The sequence below is a fragment of the Homo sapiens genome, chromosome 1 (genome assembly GCF_000001405.40).
Source record: "Homo sapiens chromosome 1, GRCh38.p14 Primary Assembly".
Classification (NCBI taxonomy): domain Eukaryota; kingdom Metazoa; phylum Chordata; class Mammalia; order Primates; family Hominidae; genus Homo; species Homo sapiens.
The window spans coordinates 40435501-40450061 of NC_000001.11; the positions used below are offsets into that span (position 1 = coordinate 40435501).

The window sequence follows — 14561 nt, forward strand, 5'->3', positions numbered from 1 at the left end:
CCTCCCAAAGTGCTGGAATTATAGTGTGAGCCATCGCGCCCAGCCTGACTCTTGCCTTTGAACCCAGCCACCAGATTCTAAGAGAGCCCAGACCACATGGAGAGGTCATGTGTGGGTGTTCTGGCCAACAGCTCTAGTAAGGCCAAGATGGTAATGAGTAAGCTTTCAGATTATTCCAGCTCTTTGCCTTCGAGTCTTCCAGCTAGGCTTCCAACATCACGGAGCAAAGACAAGCTGTCTGCACTGTACCCTGTCTAATTCCTGACTCATGGAAACTGGGAGAGATAATAAATGATTATTATTTTAAGCAGGAAGTAATGGGCAAACTATAACATATCATAATCTATAAGGAGTCCTGTCACATCAATGACTAATTTTAGGCATGTTAAGATAACCCCTTTAAAGTGAGGGACAAGTTGCTGAACTTTTTATCCCTTTCTATTAAAAAAGAAGTACAGTACGTGGTGAGTCTTTTTTGTGTGTGAAGTACATGTGTCATATTCGAGTGTGTTGACTCAAACAATTTTTTGGACAACTTGCCTACTTCAAGTGGAGCACAGAATGATGGAAGTCTCTTCTTGTTTAGGCAACAGGCAGCTCTGCCCCAGCCCTTATGATTCAGTAGGTCAGTTGCAGATCTGGACGCTGTAGAGACTCTTACAAGCCCCAAAGAAAGAATCACAAAGGAGGCAACTATGGTTTTTGAAATGATGCCTTTTTTGGCGAGTAACTAGTTTTCCATCTGGCCCTGGGGAGATTGAACTGCAGATCATGACACTCTTGGTACCCTGCGACCAGAGCTGCCCATATGAATTGGGTGGTGATCTGTGCGTTCCTGGGGAAACCCCAGTGTCAGTGTGCTTAGGTCTTTTCTCTTAGGCCACCTGGAGTCACTGGAGACGTTTCTTCAAATTTGCTGCCCAGAGAGTGTAGATCTGGGTGGGAGTTCTGAAAAGGAGGTTGGGAGTCTTAAGTGTGTAAATTTTCATTTATCCTCACCCCATCCCATCCACCATTTTCAGCATAGTAACCTGTCTTCAGCTGTGCCTGGTGTCCTGCTGTTCAGAGATTCCTCTGTGTTATCCTCTCCTGAAACTACTGGTTCAGTCTTCTGCGGACGTAAAAGAACAACAGTCACCTACAGAGTAGTGGAGGGACGCTGGGAATATAACTGCTTCTTCAGCAGATTTGCCACCGGCATTCAATTTTTATTTTATTTTATTTTGTTTATTCATTTATTTGGAGACAGAGTGTCCCTCTGTCGCCCAGGCTGGAGTGCAGTGGCGCGATCTCGGCTCACTGCAGCCTCCACCTCCTGGGTTCAAGCGATTCTCCTGCCTCAGCCTCCCGAGTAGCTGGGACTACAGGCGCCCGCCACCACGCCCGGCTAATTTTTTGTGTGTTTTTAGTAGAGATGGGGTTTTACCATGTTAGCCAGGATGGTCTCGATCTCCTGACCTTGTGATCCACCCGCCTCGGCCTCCCAAAGTGCTGGGATTACAGGCGTGAGCCACTGCGCCCAGCCGTTTTTTGTGTTTTTAGTAGAGATGGGGTTTTGCCATGTTGCCCAGGCTGGTCTCAAACTCCTGAGCTCAGGCAATCTGCCCGCCTCAGCCTCCCAAAGTGCTAGGATTACAGGCATGAGCCACCGCGCCTGGCCTGTATTCTATTTTTAGCGTTGCTTTCACTCCGCCTTTTTAGAGGGTACTCCAGGCAACCTATTTCTCTGCTTTTCAGGATTCTGCAAGGGAAGTTGGGTTCCTCTTGGCCTTCCCCTCTGCCCACTTAGGATTCAGCCTTTTCAGGACTCATAAGTCCATCACCATTCATCTATTTGTTTTCCAGTTTCCAAAAGTTTTTGTTATTTTTCTTCTCTTCCACTCAATGTGTCCCTGTGGGTTCATGCCTCTGGCTTTAAATCCCTTTTTCTACAGTAATGATTTTTTATGAGGGAGCTAAATGCATATGTTCCAACTACTCCCTTTAAATAGAATTTAAGACAGAGACAGGGAGGAATAAAGGCCAGGGGAGGAGGCCCTTCTTTTGACAAGGAATTCAGTTTTCCAGGGAAGGGAATTGTAGACTGTAAGTCTCTCAAAGAAAAGGGCACCTGTGGGATGAGGGTGGGGACTGTCATCCTTGTGAAGCCCTACATCGTTGGGTACTTTCTCTTTAGGAAAGTCCAAGTTAACTACAGCTTTAATTCTGAATTTCCCTGATTCTCTCCTAAAATTAGCATAAAAACTGCAGTCTGGTTTATTAATTTTGTGGGAGCTTAAGGCAAGAAAGATGAGTGTGGCTTTGATCTGTCCCCTTGTCTCCCAGGAGAGAGAAGGGGTATTAGCTTTGAGTACCCATTCTGAGTGAAACCAGTAGCTGAAAAGTGACCCAAGATCCTGGAGGATTGTTCCAGAGAGGAGGACAAGAGAAGAACGATCACTTTCTGTTTACCCTCATGTGTTAGTGAAGGTTGTTCTTTGAAGAGAAAGGATTCCAGCAAAATTCTAGATAAAGTAGGGGTGGCAAGATGATCTATAACTGAATGAACTCACTGGAAGCAGAAACTCAGAACCAGAGGTGACTGTGACTCTGAAAGATGATTTCAATTATTGTGTATTTATGTCTTTAACTGTGTAATCGAAGTGTATTCTACATATAGGAAAGTATACAAATTATAAATGTATACCTTGATGAATTATCTGTTTATTCATTTTTAATGTGTACTGAGAGAAATGTAACTGGCACATTAAAGATGAAATTTCAAGGATGTCATTCCTTGGGATGAGGGTAGTGTAGGCTGGTAAGACATGATAACTCACCTTACAAGAACTCCATAACTTACAGGCTTATTGTTCATGCATTCAGTGACTGCCTGGTTTATGTTATCTCAGAAGCAGACCCTAAGACAAGGATTGCAGTGCAAATAGTTTATTTAGGAAACACAGGAAATACCAATAGGGAGAGGGGGAAATGAGATAGGAAAAGGAAGATAACCAATAAAGGATACACTTTGAAGTTAGCTACCATCGCAGGAGACTGGAGCTTAATCTCAGTGAAACTGGGAATCTGCAAAATACAATATTCAGAATTATGCCACCTAGTGGTGAGCAGACCAGGCATTCTCATACCAACTACCAAATGTCATTGGTTGAGGGCTGTTGGTGGGACTATGGTGGCATGGTCAGTAATAATTCTCAGATATTTGGGGCAGCCCAGCTCCTGGCAGAGAGATGCAGATACTGGCCTCCGGCATTTGCTGGAGGCACTGGAAGGTCTCAAGGATATGCACAGGGCAGAAACAGCATTGGCTACTCTAACTAAACCTTCCATGATACATGCTCAGAAGTATGGAAGTATAGATGATGCCGAGTGCTAGTGTGAATCCCTCCTGCATTGTTTTCAGCATTCTTCTGCTGGAAGTTGACAATCATTAGTTATGGAAAATATGTAGGAGGATATATAATTGCAAATTGGAACTGGACCTCACTGTCAGTATTGATAATGTTAATTTCCTTTTGATTCTATCATGAATCAGTGATGAAAATGGTATTTCTAAAGGATAAGGCTGGAGATTGTAATGGAAACGTGAACAGTGGTGGTGATTTGAATAAAGTTTACTGATTATGCACAGGAAGAACCTGGGCATGAAGGTTTAAGACAAATACCTAACAAAGCTGTTAAAATTGCCAATCATATAAGAGTGGGTCACTGAATTCTCTGCTTCTCAGTTCTATGAAGAGATGGGCAGTGATTTCAAGCAGCTTCTCGTTTTGTTCAGAAGCTCATTGGTTTTCCCTCAGAAGAATCCCTATTTATCTCTTCAAGATGCTAAAACATCTTCATCTTTCCGGATTACATACCCTTTGTAACAGCGCATGCCTAACTGGCACTGGCTATATCACGTGAACAATCTCAATTCAGTCCTGCAAGGCAAGGTTTAAACCAGTTTTCCACTTGAGAGATCAAGTGCCTTAAATTACCGTGTTGTGTAACTGGAGTTGTGGGGCATGCCTCTTTATAATGGTGAGTCAGGTTCCTTTTGCTTGAATGATATGATTATTAACTCATCTGAACTGAAATGATATGGTTATTAACTCCCTGAAACTGTATTTTTGAAGATGATGAAGAGACACTTAAATGACTTGATAAAATGTCTTCATTGGGCTGGGCGTGGTGGCTCACGCCTGTAATTCCAACACTTTGGGAGGCCGAGGTGGGTGGATCATGAAGTCAACAGATCGAGACCATCCTGGCCAACATGGTGAAACCCTGTCTCTACTAAAAATACAAAAATTAGCTGGGTGTGGTGGCGCACGCCTGTAGTCCCAGCTACTCAGGAGGCTGAGGCAGGAGACTCACTTGAACCTGGGAGGCGGAGGTTGCAGTGAGCCAAGATTGAGCCACTGCACTCCAGCCTGGCGACAGGGCAAGACTCCATCTCAAAAAAAAAAGTCTTCATTGGGGTTTTCAGAATCCAATGGCAGAGACGAGTAGATAAGGAGCTCTTTCCTCACTACCTTTGGAGACATGACCAAATAACTTGACACATTTTGAAGAACAGATTCTAGATATTGTATTAGATGTCCTATTGAAATACAGTTTATTAAACAAAAATTTCTCATAATTTTGATTAGTTTATAATTCCATCAGATAATACAGTTAAGTTTGTTGCCTCTACACACACTATGCATACTTATAAATTAGGTTTCCAGTGGTGAAAAATAGAAACATAGAAGCTCATCTTTTTTTTTTTTTTTTTTTTTGAGACAGGGTCTAGCCCAGGCTAGAGTGCAGTGGCGCAGTCAGTCTTGACTCACTGCAGCCTAGGCCTCCTGGGCTCAGGTGATCCTCCCACCTCAGCCTTCTAAGTAGCTGGGGCTACAGGCATGCGCCACCATTCCTGGATAATTTTGTTTATTTTTTAAACTTAATTGAATTTAAATTTTTTGAGACGAAGTTTTGCTCTTGTTGCTCAGGCTGGAGTGCAATGGCGCAATCTCGGCTCACCGCAACCTCTGCCTCCCTGGTTCAAGCAATTCTCCTGCCTCAGCCTCCTGAGTAGCTGCGATTACAGGCATACGCCACCACACCTGGCTAATTTTGTATTTTTAGTAGAGATGGGGTTTCTCCATATTGATCAGGCTGGTCTTGAACTCCCGACCTCAGGTGATCTGCCCGCCTTGGCCTCCCAAAGTGCTGGGATTACAGGTGTGAGTCACCTCACCCAGCCTTGTTTATTATTATTACTTTTTTAAGATGGAGTCTCCCAATGTTGCCCAGGCTGGTCTCAAACTCTTGGGCTCAAGTGATCCTCTCACCTCAGCTTAAGCCCATCTTTTTTTTTTTTTAATAAGGCCTTTTTTTTTAATAACTGATAATAAACCAACTATCTCTCCCCCTTTTAAACTGATAAAGATTTTGTTTTGTTTTGAGATGGAGTCTCGCTCTGTCGTACAAGCTGGAGTGTGGAGTGTGATCTTGGCTCACGGCAACTTCTGCCTCCCAGCTCAGCCTCCGGAATAGCTACGATTACAGGCATGCGCCAACATGCCTGGCTAATTTTTTTGTATTTTTAGTAGAGACAGGGTTTCACCATGTTGGTCAGGCTGGTCTTGAACTCCTGACCTCAAGTGATCCGCCCTCCTCGGCCTCCCAAAGTGCTGGGATTACAGGCGTGAGCCACCACACCCGGCCTTAAACTGATAAAGTTTTATTCTTCCCAATGAGAAACTTATTTTCAGATACATGCTTTTGTAAATTGATTGGATTTATTAATACTTCTTTTCATTATTTTATTTACAAGTTGAACTTATTGGATTTATTTTTTTATGTCATGTAATGGTTTCCTATGTCCAGTAGACAAATTGTTCTCTTTTGAATACATTTACTAAAATTAAAAAGGGAATCCAGAGCTTCATTATGATGCAGCCAACATCATTTGGCATAAATCCCTTGTTAAAGTCAGTGTTATGAGAAAATAATCTGATTTCAGATAATGTTTTTTTTTTTAAATTTGTGCATGTTAACACTCTAGTTTGTATTTGCCTCTGTATTCAGATAATCCACACTACACACACACAAATAACAACCAGACATATTTGTGGGGGTAATTATTGGCTGAATCACATGAAGTTGTCCCTTTTGTTTTTTTTTTTTTGAGACAATCTCCCTCTGTCACCCAGGCTAGAGTGCAGTGGCACGATCCGGGCTCACTGCAACCTCTGCCTCCTGGGTTCGAACGATTCTCCTGCCTCAGCCTCCCGAGTAACTGGGATTACAGGCACCTGCCACCACGCCCGGCTAACTTTTGTATTTTCAGTAGATGGGGTTTCACCATGTTGGCAAGGCTGGTCTCAAACTCCTGACCTCAAGAGATATGCCAACCTTGGCCTCCCAAAGTGCTGGGATTACAGGCCTGAGCCACCTCGCCCAACCCCTTTTGTATGTTAAAATTGATCGAATATTAGGAAGTCCATATGATTTAATCTAACAAATTTTTTGACAATTTGATTTTCTCACTTGGAAAAGATCTTATGGAAATCCTGCCAAGTGATGGCATAGTGCTAATGGATTCTTTCAAAAGGCCTTTTTAAGTCCTTGGTGTGGCTGTATCATTTATTCAGCAAATCCCTTACGGGTGGACATTTAATTTCCTATTTTCTGCTAGAAGAAGCAGTTCTGTAATAATCACCTTCGTACAACTGTCCTTTGAAACAATGCTTTTGTTTCCAAGGGACGCATTTTTAGGAGTGGGATTGCTTTGTCAAAAGTACTATATTCAGATAACTTTTTATCTGAATAAAAGTACTGTATTGAGATTTTTTTTTAGCTGGGTGTCGTAGCACACACCTGTGGTCCTAGCTACTTGGGAAGCTGAAGTGGGAGGATCGCTTGAGCCCGGAAGGTGGAGGTTGCAGTGAGCTTAGTTTGCACCACTGCACTCCAGCCTGGGTGACAGTGAGGCCCTGTCTTAAAAAAAAAAAAAAGGTACATATTTTTTGGCTGGGCACACCTATAATCCCAGCACTTTGGGAGGCTGAGGAGGGAGGATCACTTGAGCCCAGGAATTTGATACCAGCCTGGCCAACACAGTGAGACTCTGTCTCCACAGAAAATAAAAAAATTAGCCAGGCTTGGTGGCATGTGCCTATAGTCCTAGTTACTCGGGAGGCTGAGCTGGGAGGATTGCTACAGCCTGGGAGTTTGAGACTTAAGAGAGCCGTGATTGCACCACTGCACTCCAGCCTGGGTGACAGAGCAAGATTCTGTCTCAAAACAAAAAAAAAAAGTTACAGGGTGCTTTGACATTACAATTAAAAAAAAGATCATGTACATTAAATGGCACAGAAGCAGAGCAGCATGAGATGTGATAAAATTTACACCCAAAATATCCCAAATAGCTCTTTTGTTAAGTGTAAAACTCTTAAATTGTAAGAAAACATTGTGCGTTAATTAAACAGTAGCATTTTTAAAATTTACTATTTATTTATTTATTTTGAGATGGAGTCTCACTCTGTTGCCCAGGCTGGAGTGCAGTGGCGCAATCTCGGCTCACTGCAACCTCTGCTGCCTGGGTTCAAGCAATTCTACTGCCTTAGCCTCCCAAGTAGCTGGGATTACAAGCACCTGCCACTGCAACCGCTAATTTTTGTAGTTTTAGTAGAGATGGGGTTTCACCATATTGGCCAGGCTGGTCTTGAACTCCTGGCCTCATGATCCACCTGCCTCAGCCTCCCAAAGTGCTGGGATTACAGGCGTGATCTACTGCACCCGGCCTAATTTTTTTTTTTTTTTTTTGAGACAAGGTCTCACTCTGTCACCCAGACATGAGCCACTCACTGTGCCCAGCCTAGCATTTTTCTTTTTTAGTAGTACATAAAATAATGATGTTTCTCAAATTAAATGATGTTTTAAAGACAATTAAATACTGATTTTGTCTGTCATCTGCATTACGGATTTTTTTTTAGGTGTGTCATCTGTATATTGACTTTAAGACATCTTTTGCCTATAAAGATTTTTAATTTTTAAATAGTCAAGTACATTGACTAGGTCTGTAGATTTGGTTAAAAGCATCTCTCCCACTAGATTTTCAGGATTTTGATCTATTTTTATATTTTATATTTTAGAGTTTAACCTAGCTGGAATTATTTCTGAATATGGTTTAAGATGAGGACCCATGTCAAAACTTTATTTTCTTCTAGATTGATAAATACTAGAATTCCGTAGGCTTCGCTTATTAAGCAATTCATCCATTTCCTACTGAATTGAGCCTCCATCTTTGTCATTTAATAAATTCTCATATGTACTAGAATCAGTTTTGGATTCTCTAGTCTGTTTCATTGGTTTCTTTGTCATTCTTCATGCCAGAATCATAATCATATGGCTATGGCGACTGCAATGGTTTGAATATGTCCCCCAGAAAGCAGGCGTTGGAAACTTCATCCCCAGGGCAACCGTGTTGGGAAGTAGGTCCTAATGGGAGGTATGTATGTCATGAGGGCTTTGCCCTCATGCATGGATTAATGCCTTATAAAAGAGCTTGAGGTCTTGGGTTGAGTCTCCTGCTCTCTCCAGCTCTCTTGCACGTCTGCCATCTGTCATGGATGACACAGCAAGAAGGCCCTTGCCTGATATGGGCCCCGCGATCTCAGACTTCCTAGACTCCAGAACTGTAAGAAATAAATCTCTGTTTGTTATAAATTACCAAGTCTCAGATATTCTATTATAGCAGTACAAAATGGACAGAGAAAGTGACTTTTTAGTGTGTTGTGCTATCTGGTAAGCCAAGTCCCCCATCACCGTTCTTTTCTTGACTTTTCTTGTGTCGTATTGGACCTTTATTCTTGCATAAATTTTAAGATTTTAAAATCTAGTTCCAAAATCAAAACAAAACCCTGCTGGGACTCTAATCAGAATTATAATCATTTTATATTATCTGACATTGTTATGATAGCAAATCTCCTCTATGAATGATATACATTTTCATTTACACAAATCTTGTTTTATGCCTTTTAATGATTTTTATTTGTATTTTCTTCACCTTTATTTTCTTATTATTAAATTTGTTCTAAATATTTTATAGGTAGAATTACTCCTTCTGAGGATGGAATATATCCCACTTCCATTCTATTCTAGGTGCTCATTTCTTTTTTTTGTTTTTTTTTTGAGACAGAGTCTCACACTGTTGCCTGGGCTGGAGTGCCATGGTGCAATCTCGGCTTGCAGCAACCACTGCCTCCTGGGTTCAAGCAATTCTCCTACCTCATTCTCCTGAGTAGCTAGGATTACAGGTGTCCATCACCACGCCCGGCTAATTTTCTGTATTTTTAGTAGAGATGGGGTTTCATTATATTGGCCAGTCTGGTCTCGAACTCCTGACCTCATGATCCACACAACTCAGCCTCCCAGAGTGTTGGGATTACAGGCGTGAGACACCATGCCCAGCCCTACTAATTTCTACATGCTCATTTCTAAAGCAAGGAAAATATTTATTTTGTGTGTATTTCTTATGAGGCAACTATCTCACATCAATTCTCCTATTAATTCTAGCAGTTTTTGTTACAGACTTTTTCTAGATATGGTATCATGTCATCAGCAAAAAGATATAGCTCTACCTCTTCTTTTCCAATATTTGTGCTAGTTTTCTTATTTTATTTGACAAATACTCTAAGACAATGTTACAAACTAATATGATGGCAAGTTTCTGATTTTATTTGAAATTGTTTTATTGTTACACTATTTAGGGTACCATTTACATTTTTTATTTTTGTAAATAGTCTTTCTTAGAAGTAATGTCTTAGTCTGTTTGGACTGCTATTACAGAAGACCATAGACTGAGTGGCTTATAAACAACAGAAATTTATTTCTCACAGTTCTGAAGTCTGGGAATTCTAAGATCAAGGTTTGAGCAGGTGGTTCCCAGAGGCCATCTTCTGGATGTGTCCTTATATGGTAGAAGGAAGGGACAGGGAGCTCTCTGGGGCCTCTTTTATAAGGTGTCAGATACAAAAGAAGTTCCTCTTCAAAGGTTTGGCTTGTTCAGCGTCCCGTTCTTTGTTGCCTACTTCCAAGGCCAAACCAACTTCCTTATCCTTTGTGCCTCCCTATGTTAGTTTCAGTAAACAACTTTCTCACCAGTCCTTGTCTACAGAGACCACATCTGCTACCCACTCTGTAAATTACCCCTCCCGTTGCAATGGCTCTTCCTGCCAAAACTGCCCTTCTCACCAGTGTAACCACATTCCGAATTAGCCAGTTGGGTTCAGCTTAGATTGTGCGGTCCAACTCCAGCCAATGGAGGCAGGACACAGTGACAGGGACAAGCCGCATTAGGAATAAAAACCCCTTCCCTCCTTTGTTCAGTGTGCTCTCATGGTGACCAAACCTGCGAACAGCACCCTTCTACAGAAGTAAATTTTGCCTTGCTAAGAAATCTTTTGTTTAAGTGCTCATTTTCTTCGCAACTTCGAGCTTTACTTCCAACATAAGGGTAGCAATCCCACTCATGAAGGATCCACCTTCATGACCTAATCACCTCCCAAAGACCTCACCTCCAAATACCATCACATTGGGAGTTAGGATTTAACATATGAATTTTGTGGGGATGAAACATTCAGTCTATACCAAGTAATCTCCTTCTATTCCTATTTTACTTAGAGTTTTTAGTACATGAATTAGAACAATAGTTGGCTAACAGTAAATGCTCTTTACTTGTTAAGCAGATAATGATGTACCAGAAATGACTGCTAAAGTTTATTAAAGTCTTTTTCACTGACTATTGACATGATCATATAGTTTTTCCTCTTGAATTTGATGTTATAGGTTATGTTAATGTGCTTCCTGGTATTGGAACACCCTTATATTCCTGGGAAAAACTTGGTTGGTCATATATATTTTTAAAAATTAATCACTAGTTCTATTTGTCAATATTTTATTTAGAATATTTGTACTTACAGTCATAAATTAATCTATACTTTTCTTTTTTGTACTTGAAAAATCATGGTTTAGTATTAAAGTTCTACTTCTGTTATTGAATAAATTCAGGAGCATTCATCTTTTTCCTTAGTCTGAAACATTTCCCCTTCGTTGGGAACTGCTAACTGTTCATGGGGTGGGTGCCCAGAAGCCAAGTCTTTCTACCATGACACTCCGTGGCCCCTGGTCAAAGCCAAATGATCAAATGATCCTGCCAAAATTTGGAATTTTGAACTGAGTAACACAACTGAAAGTTGCCAGAGCTGAATCATGTTAAGGGTGGTGGTTTAGAGGGCATCTCTCTGGGCATTTGCTTTGTGGTGCTCAGAAATCCGCTGGTTCGTAAACTTTCACAGACTAGGCTAACCAGTTCTTCCTCGAATTCCTGAAGACTCCAGAATCCTTCCAACAACAACAATAATAATAATCATTTTAACTTAGAAAGCAATTCTGGTGAGCTAGTTACTTGCAAATAATAGGGCCTTAATCACAAACCTATGTATAGAATAGTTTCTTATCCCAAAACTATGGCTAGAATCACCTTTATGTGAACACGTTAACAGTTGTGCTTTTACTTTAAAACAAAAGTTTACTTTGACTAGGATACGGGGTAATTAAAAAAATTAAAAAGTGAAAAAGAAAACAAAACTTTACTTTCTTGAAATTATACGATGTGTAACATGTACAGCAGGAACCCAACTTGATTTGTTCTTGCTATGGGCTGAGTGTTTGTATTCTGCCACAAACGAGTATGTCGAAGCCCTAACCCCTAAAGTGACTGTATTTGGAGATGAGGCCTTTATAGAAGTAATAAGTTTAAATGAGGTCACAGGGGTGGGGCCCTGATCTGTTAGGATTAGTGTTCTTAAAAGAAGAGACATCAGAGAGCTCACTCTCCTCAAGCACACAAGAAGAGGTCTTGTGAGCATACAAGGAGATGGTGGCTGCCTACAAGCCAAGAGAAAAGGCCTCAGAAGGAAACCTACCTTGCTCACCCCTTGATCTTGGACTTCCCAGCCTCCAGAACTATAAGAAAATTAATTTCTGTTGGTTAAGCCACCCAGTCTATGGTATTTTGTTGTCAGCCAGTGAAGACTCATACTGTTCCCCAAATGGCTAACTAGTTGTCCTAATGATATTTGTTGAATAATCCATCATTACCCAGCTGCTTTGAAACGCCAGCTTTACAATATACTAAATTTAAATAAAGTGTCAAGTCTGTTTCTGAGTTTCCAATTTCATCTCACTGATTTCCGAGTATATTTTGGCACTAGTTTTATTTTGATTATTTTGCCTCCATAATACAAGGTAATATCTGGTAGGGCAAGTCTGCCTTCATTATTGTTGGAAAACATTATTGGCCATTCTGGAACACTTGCCATACTAGCTAAACTTTAGAATCATTTAGTTTAGTAAAAAGAAAAGTTGATTTTCTTTTTTTTTTTGAGATGGAGTCTTGCTCTGTCACCCAGGCTGGAATGCAGTGGCATGATCTTGGCTCCCTACAACCTCCACCTCTTGGGTTCAAGCGATTCTTTTGCCTCAGCCTCCTGAGTAGCTGGGATTACAGACACACACCACCACACCCAACTAATTTTTGTATTTTTAGTAGAGATGAGGTTTCGCCATGTTGACCACGCTGGTCTCGAACTCCTGAGCTCAGGTGATCCACCCGCCTTGGCCTCCTAAAGTGCTGGGATTACAGGTGTGAGCCACCATGTCCGGCCGAAAAAGTTGAAATTTTGATTGGGATGCATCACAGTTTATGTGAACTGGAGGAAGAGTGACATACTTAGAATGTTCTATTTCAACTCGTGAATGTGTTGTATCACTATTCTCACCATTTAAACAAAAAATTTGGAGTTTTATTTATAATTTCCTGCATAATTCTTGTTTATTCTTAGCTGTATTTTTCTGATATTTTATTATGAAAACATATACATATACAGAAAAATTGAAAGAATTTTACATTACGGCATCCCTATACCACTACTTAGATTCTACCATTAACATTTTATTGTATTTCATGCTGTATTTTTGTTGAGTAGCAGATAGGAACATAGACTGCCTGTGTTCACCACTTGTAAGCCACATGATCTTGGCAAGTTATTCAACTTCTCTAAATCTCAGTTTTCTTATCTGTAAAGTGGGAATAATAATAGTACTTACTTCCAGTGGTTTCTGTGATGACAAAATAAGTTAAAATATGAAAGGCACTTAGGACAGAGCCTCATATTCTGTAACTATTATATGCTAGTGTATTCATCAGCTTGGGCTGCTGTAACAAAATACCATTGACTGGGTGGCTTAAACCACGGATATCTGGCCGGGCGCAGTGGCTCATGCCTGTAATCCCAGCACTTTGGGAGGCCGAGGCGGGCAGACACCGAGGTCAGGAGTTTGAGACCAGCCTGGCCAACATAGTGGAACCCCGTCTGTACTAAAAATACAAAAAATTAGCTGGGCGTCGTGGCGGGCGCCTGTAATCCTAGCCACTTGGGAGGCTGAGGCAGGAGAATCGCTTTAAGCCAGGAGGCGAAGGTTGCAGTGAACCGAGGTCACGCCACTGCAGTCCAGCCCTGCGGACAGTGCGAGACTCCATCTCAAAAAAACAAACAAACAAACAAACAAAAAACCGGAAATTTATTTTCTCAGTGTGGAGACTAGAAGCCCCAAGTAAGGTCGAGTTGGGTTCGTTTCTGACTAGGACTATATTCTAACCTTAATTACTTCCATAAAGGCCTTATCTCTAAATACTCTCCAAATACAATGGAGGTTAGGGCTTCAAGATAAATTTTGGGGAATCCAAACATTCGGTTCATAACAGCTAGCAAGTACTATAATTGTATTCTATTTCCTCATTTGTTGTTTTTGTAAACTGTTGATGTAGAAATGTATTTGGAGTGATGTACTCAAATTTTGTTGGAGGGAGAAAACTCAGCAATAAAACAGCATTACAGTATAATCGCTTTTGTGGAAAATATATAACAATGCATGAAATACGTTGTGTGTGTGCAGGAAAGGTTGTACACCAACTGTTAGCAAGGTTACCGCTGCTTGCTGAAATTACAGGCAATAATTTTTTTGTTTTTGTGTATTTTCTGGCATTTCAGAAATACAAGGTAAGCAATAAACATGAGAACTTTTATTGAATACTAGAAGAGAAAACTGTTGTGGTATTCTTTTAACAATATACCGGAATCCATTCAACTGTCTGCTGAGAATAAATAACTGGCATGTACATAATATTTAGGGAAAGTGCTATGGATTATTTTACACCAGTGTCGTTTCACCAAAAAACGTGATGCCGATGGCTCCCTTTTGTCACGGGTTTCAAAGGCTCACCCTAACGTTCACGTGCATTTTCCCAGCGGAGGAAAGATGGTTGTTCTTCATCAGAGTCTGGGGCCCAAGAACGCAGGCTCCATCTCCTCCCGCAGGAGCCAGGCTGATGATGCTCGCAGGGATCGGATACTGGGAGCCCCTGAACGCAGCCAACCCGGCGCGCACCGGTGGGGGCGTCTGCGCTGGCGGAGCGGCTCCCCGGGAGGACGCTGGGAACCATGCTCTAGCCAGCCGCTGCGCAG

At 41.3% G+C, this 14561-nt stretch overlaps 1 long non-coding RNA gene across 1 annotated transcript; it reads right to left on the bottom strand.

The window, feature by feature from the left end:
* Window positions 1-700: 700 nt before the first annotated feature.
* On the bottom strand, window positions 701-14539 carry ZFP69B-DT (ZFP69B divergent transcript). Its single transcript, NR_198977.1, has 5 exons — window positions 14320-14539; window positions 3025-3066; window positions 2820-2900; window positions 1032-1111; window positions 701-948 (listed from the first exon to the last, which is right to left on the bottom strand). It is a non-coding gene; the product is annotated as a ZFP69B divergent transcript (long non-coding RNA).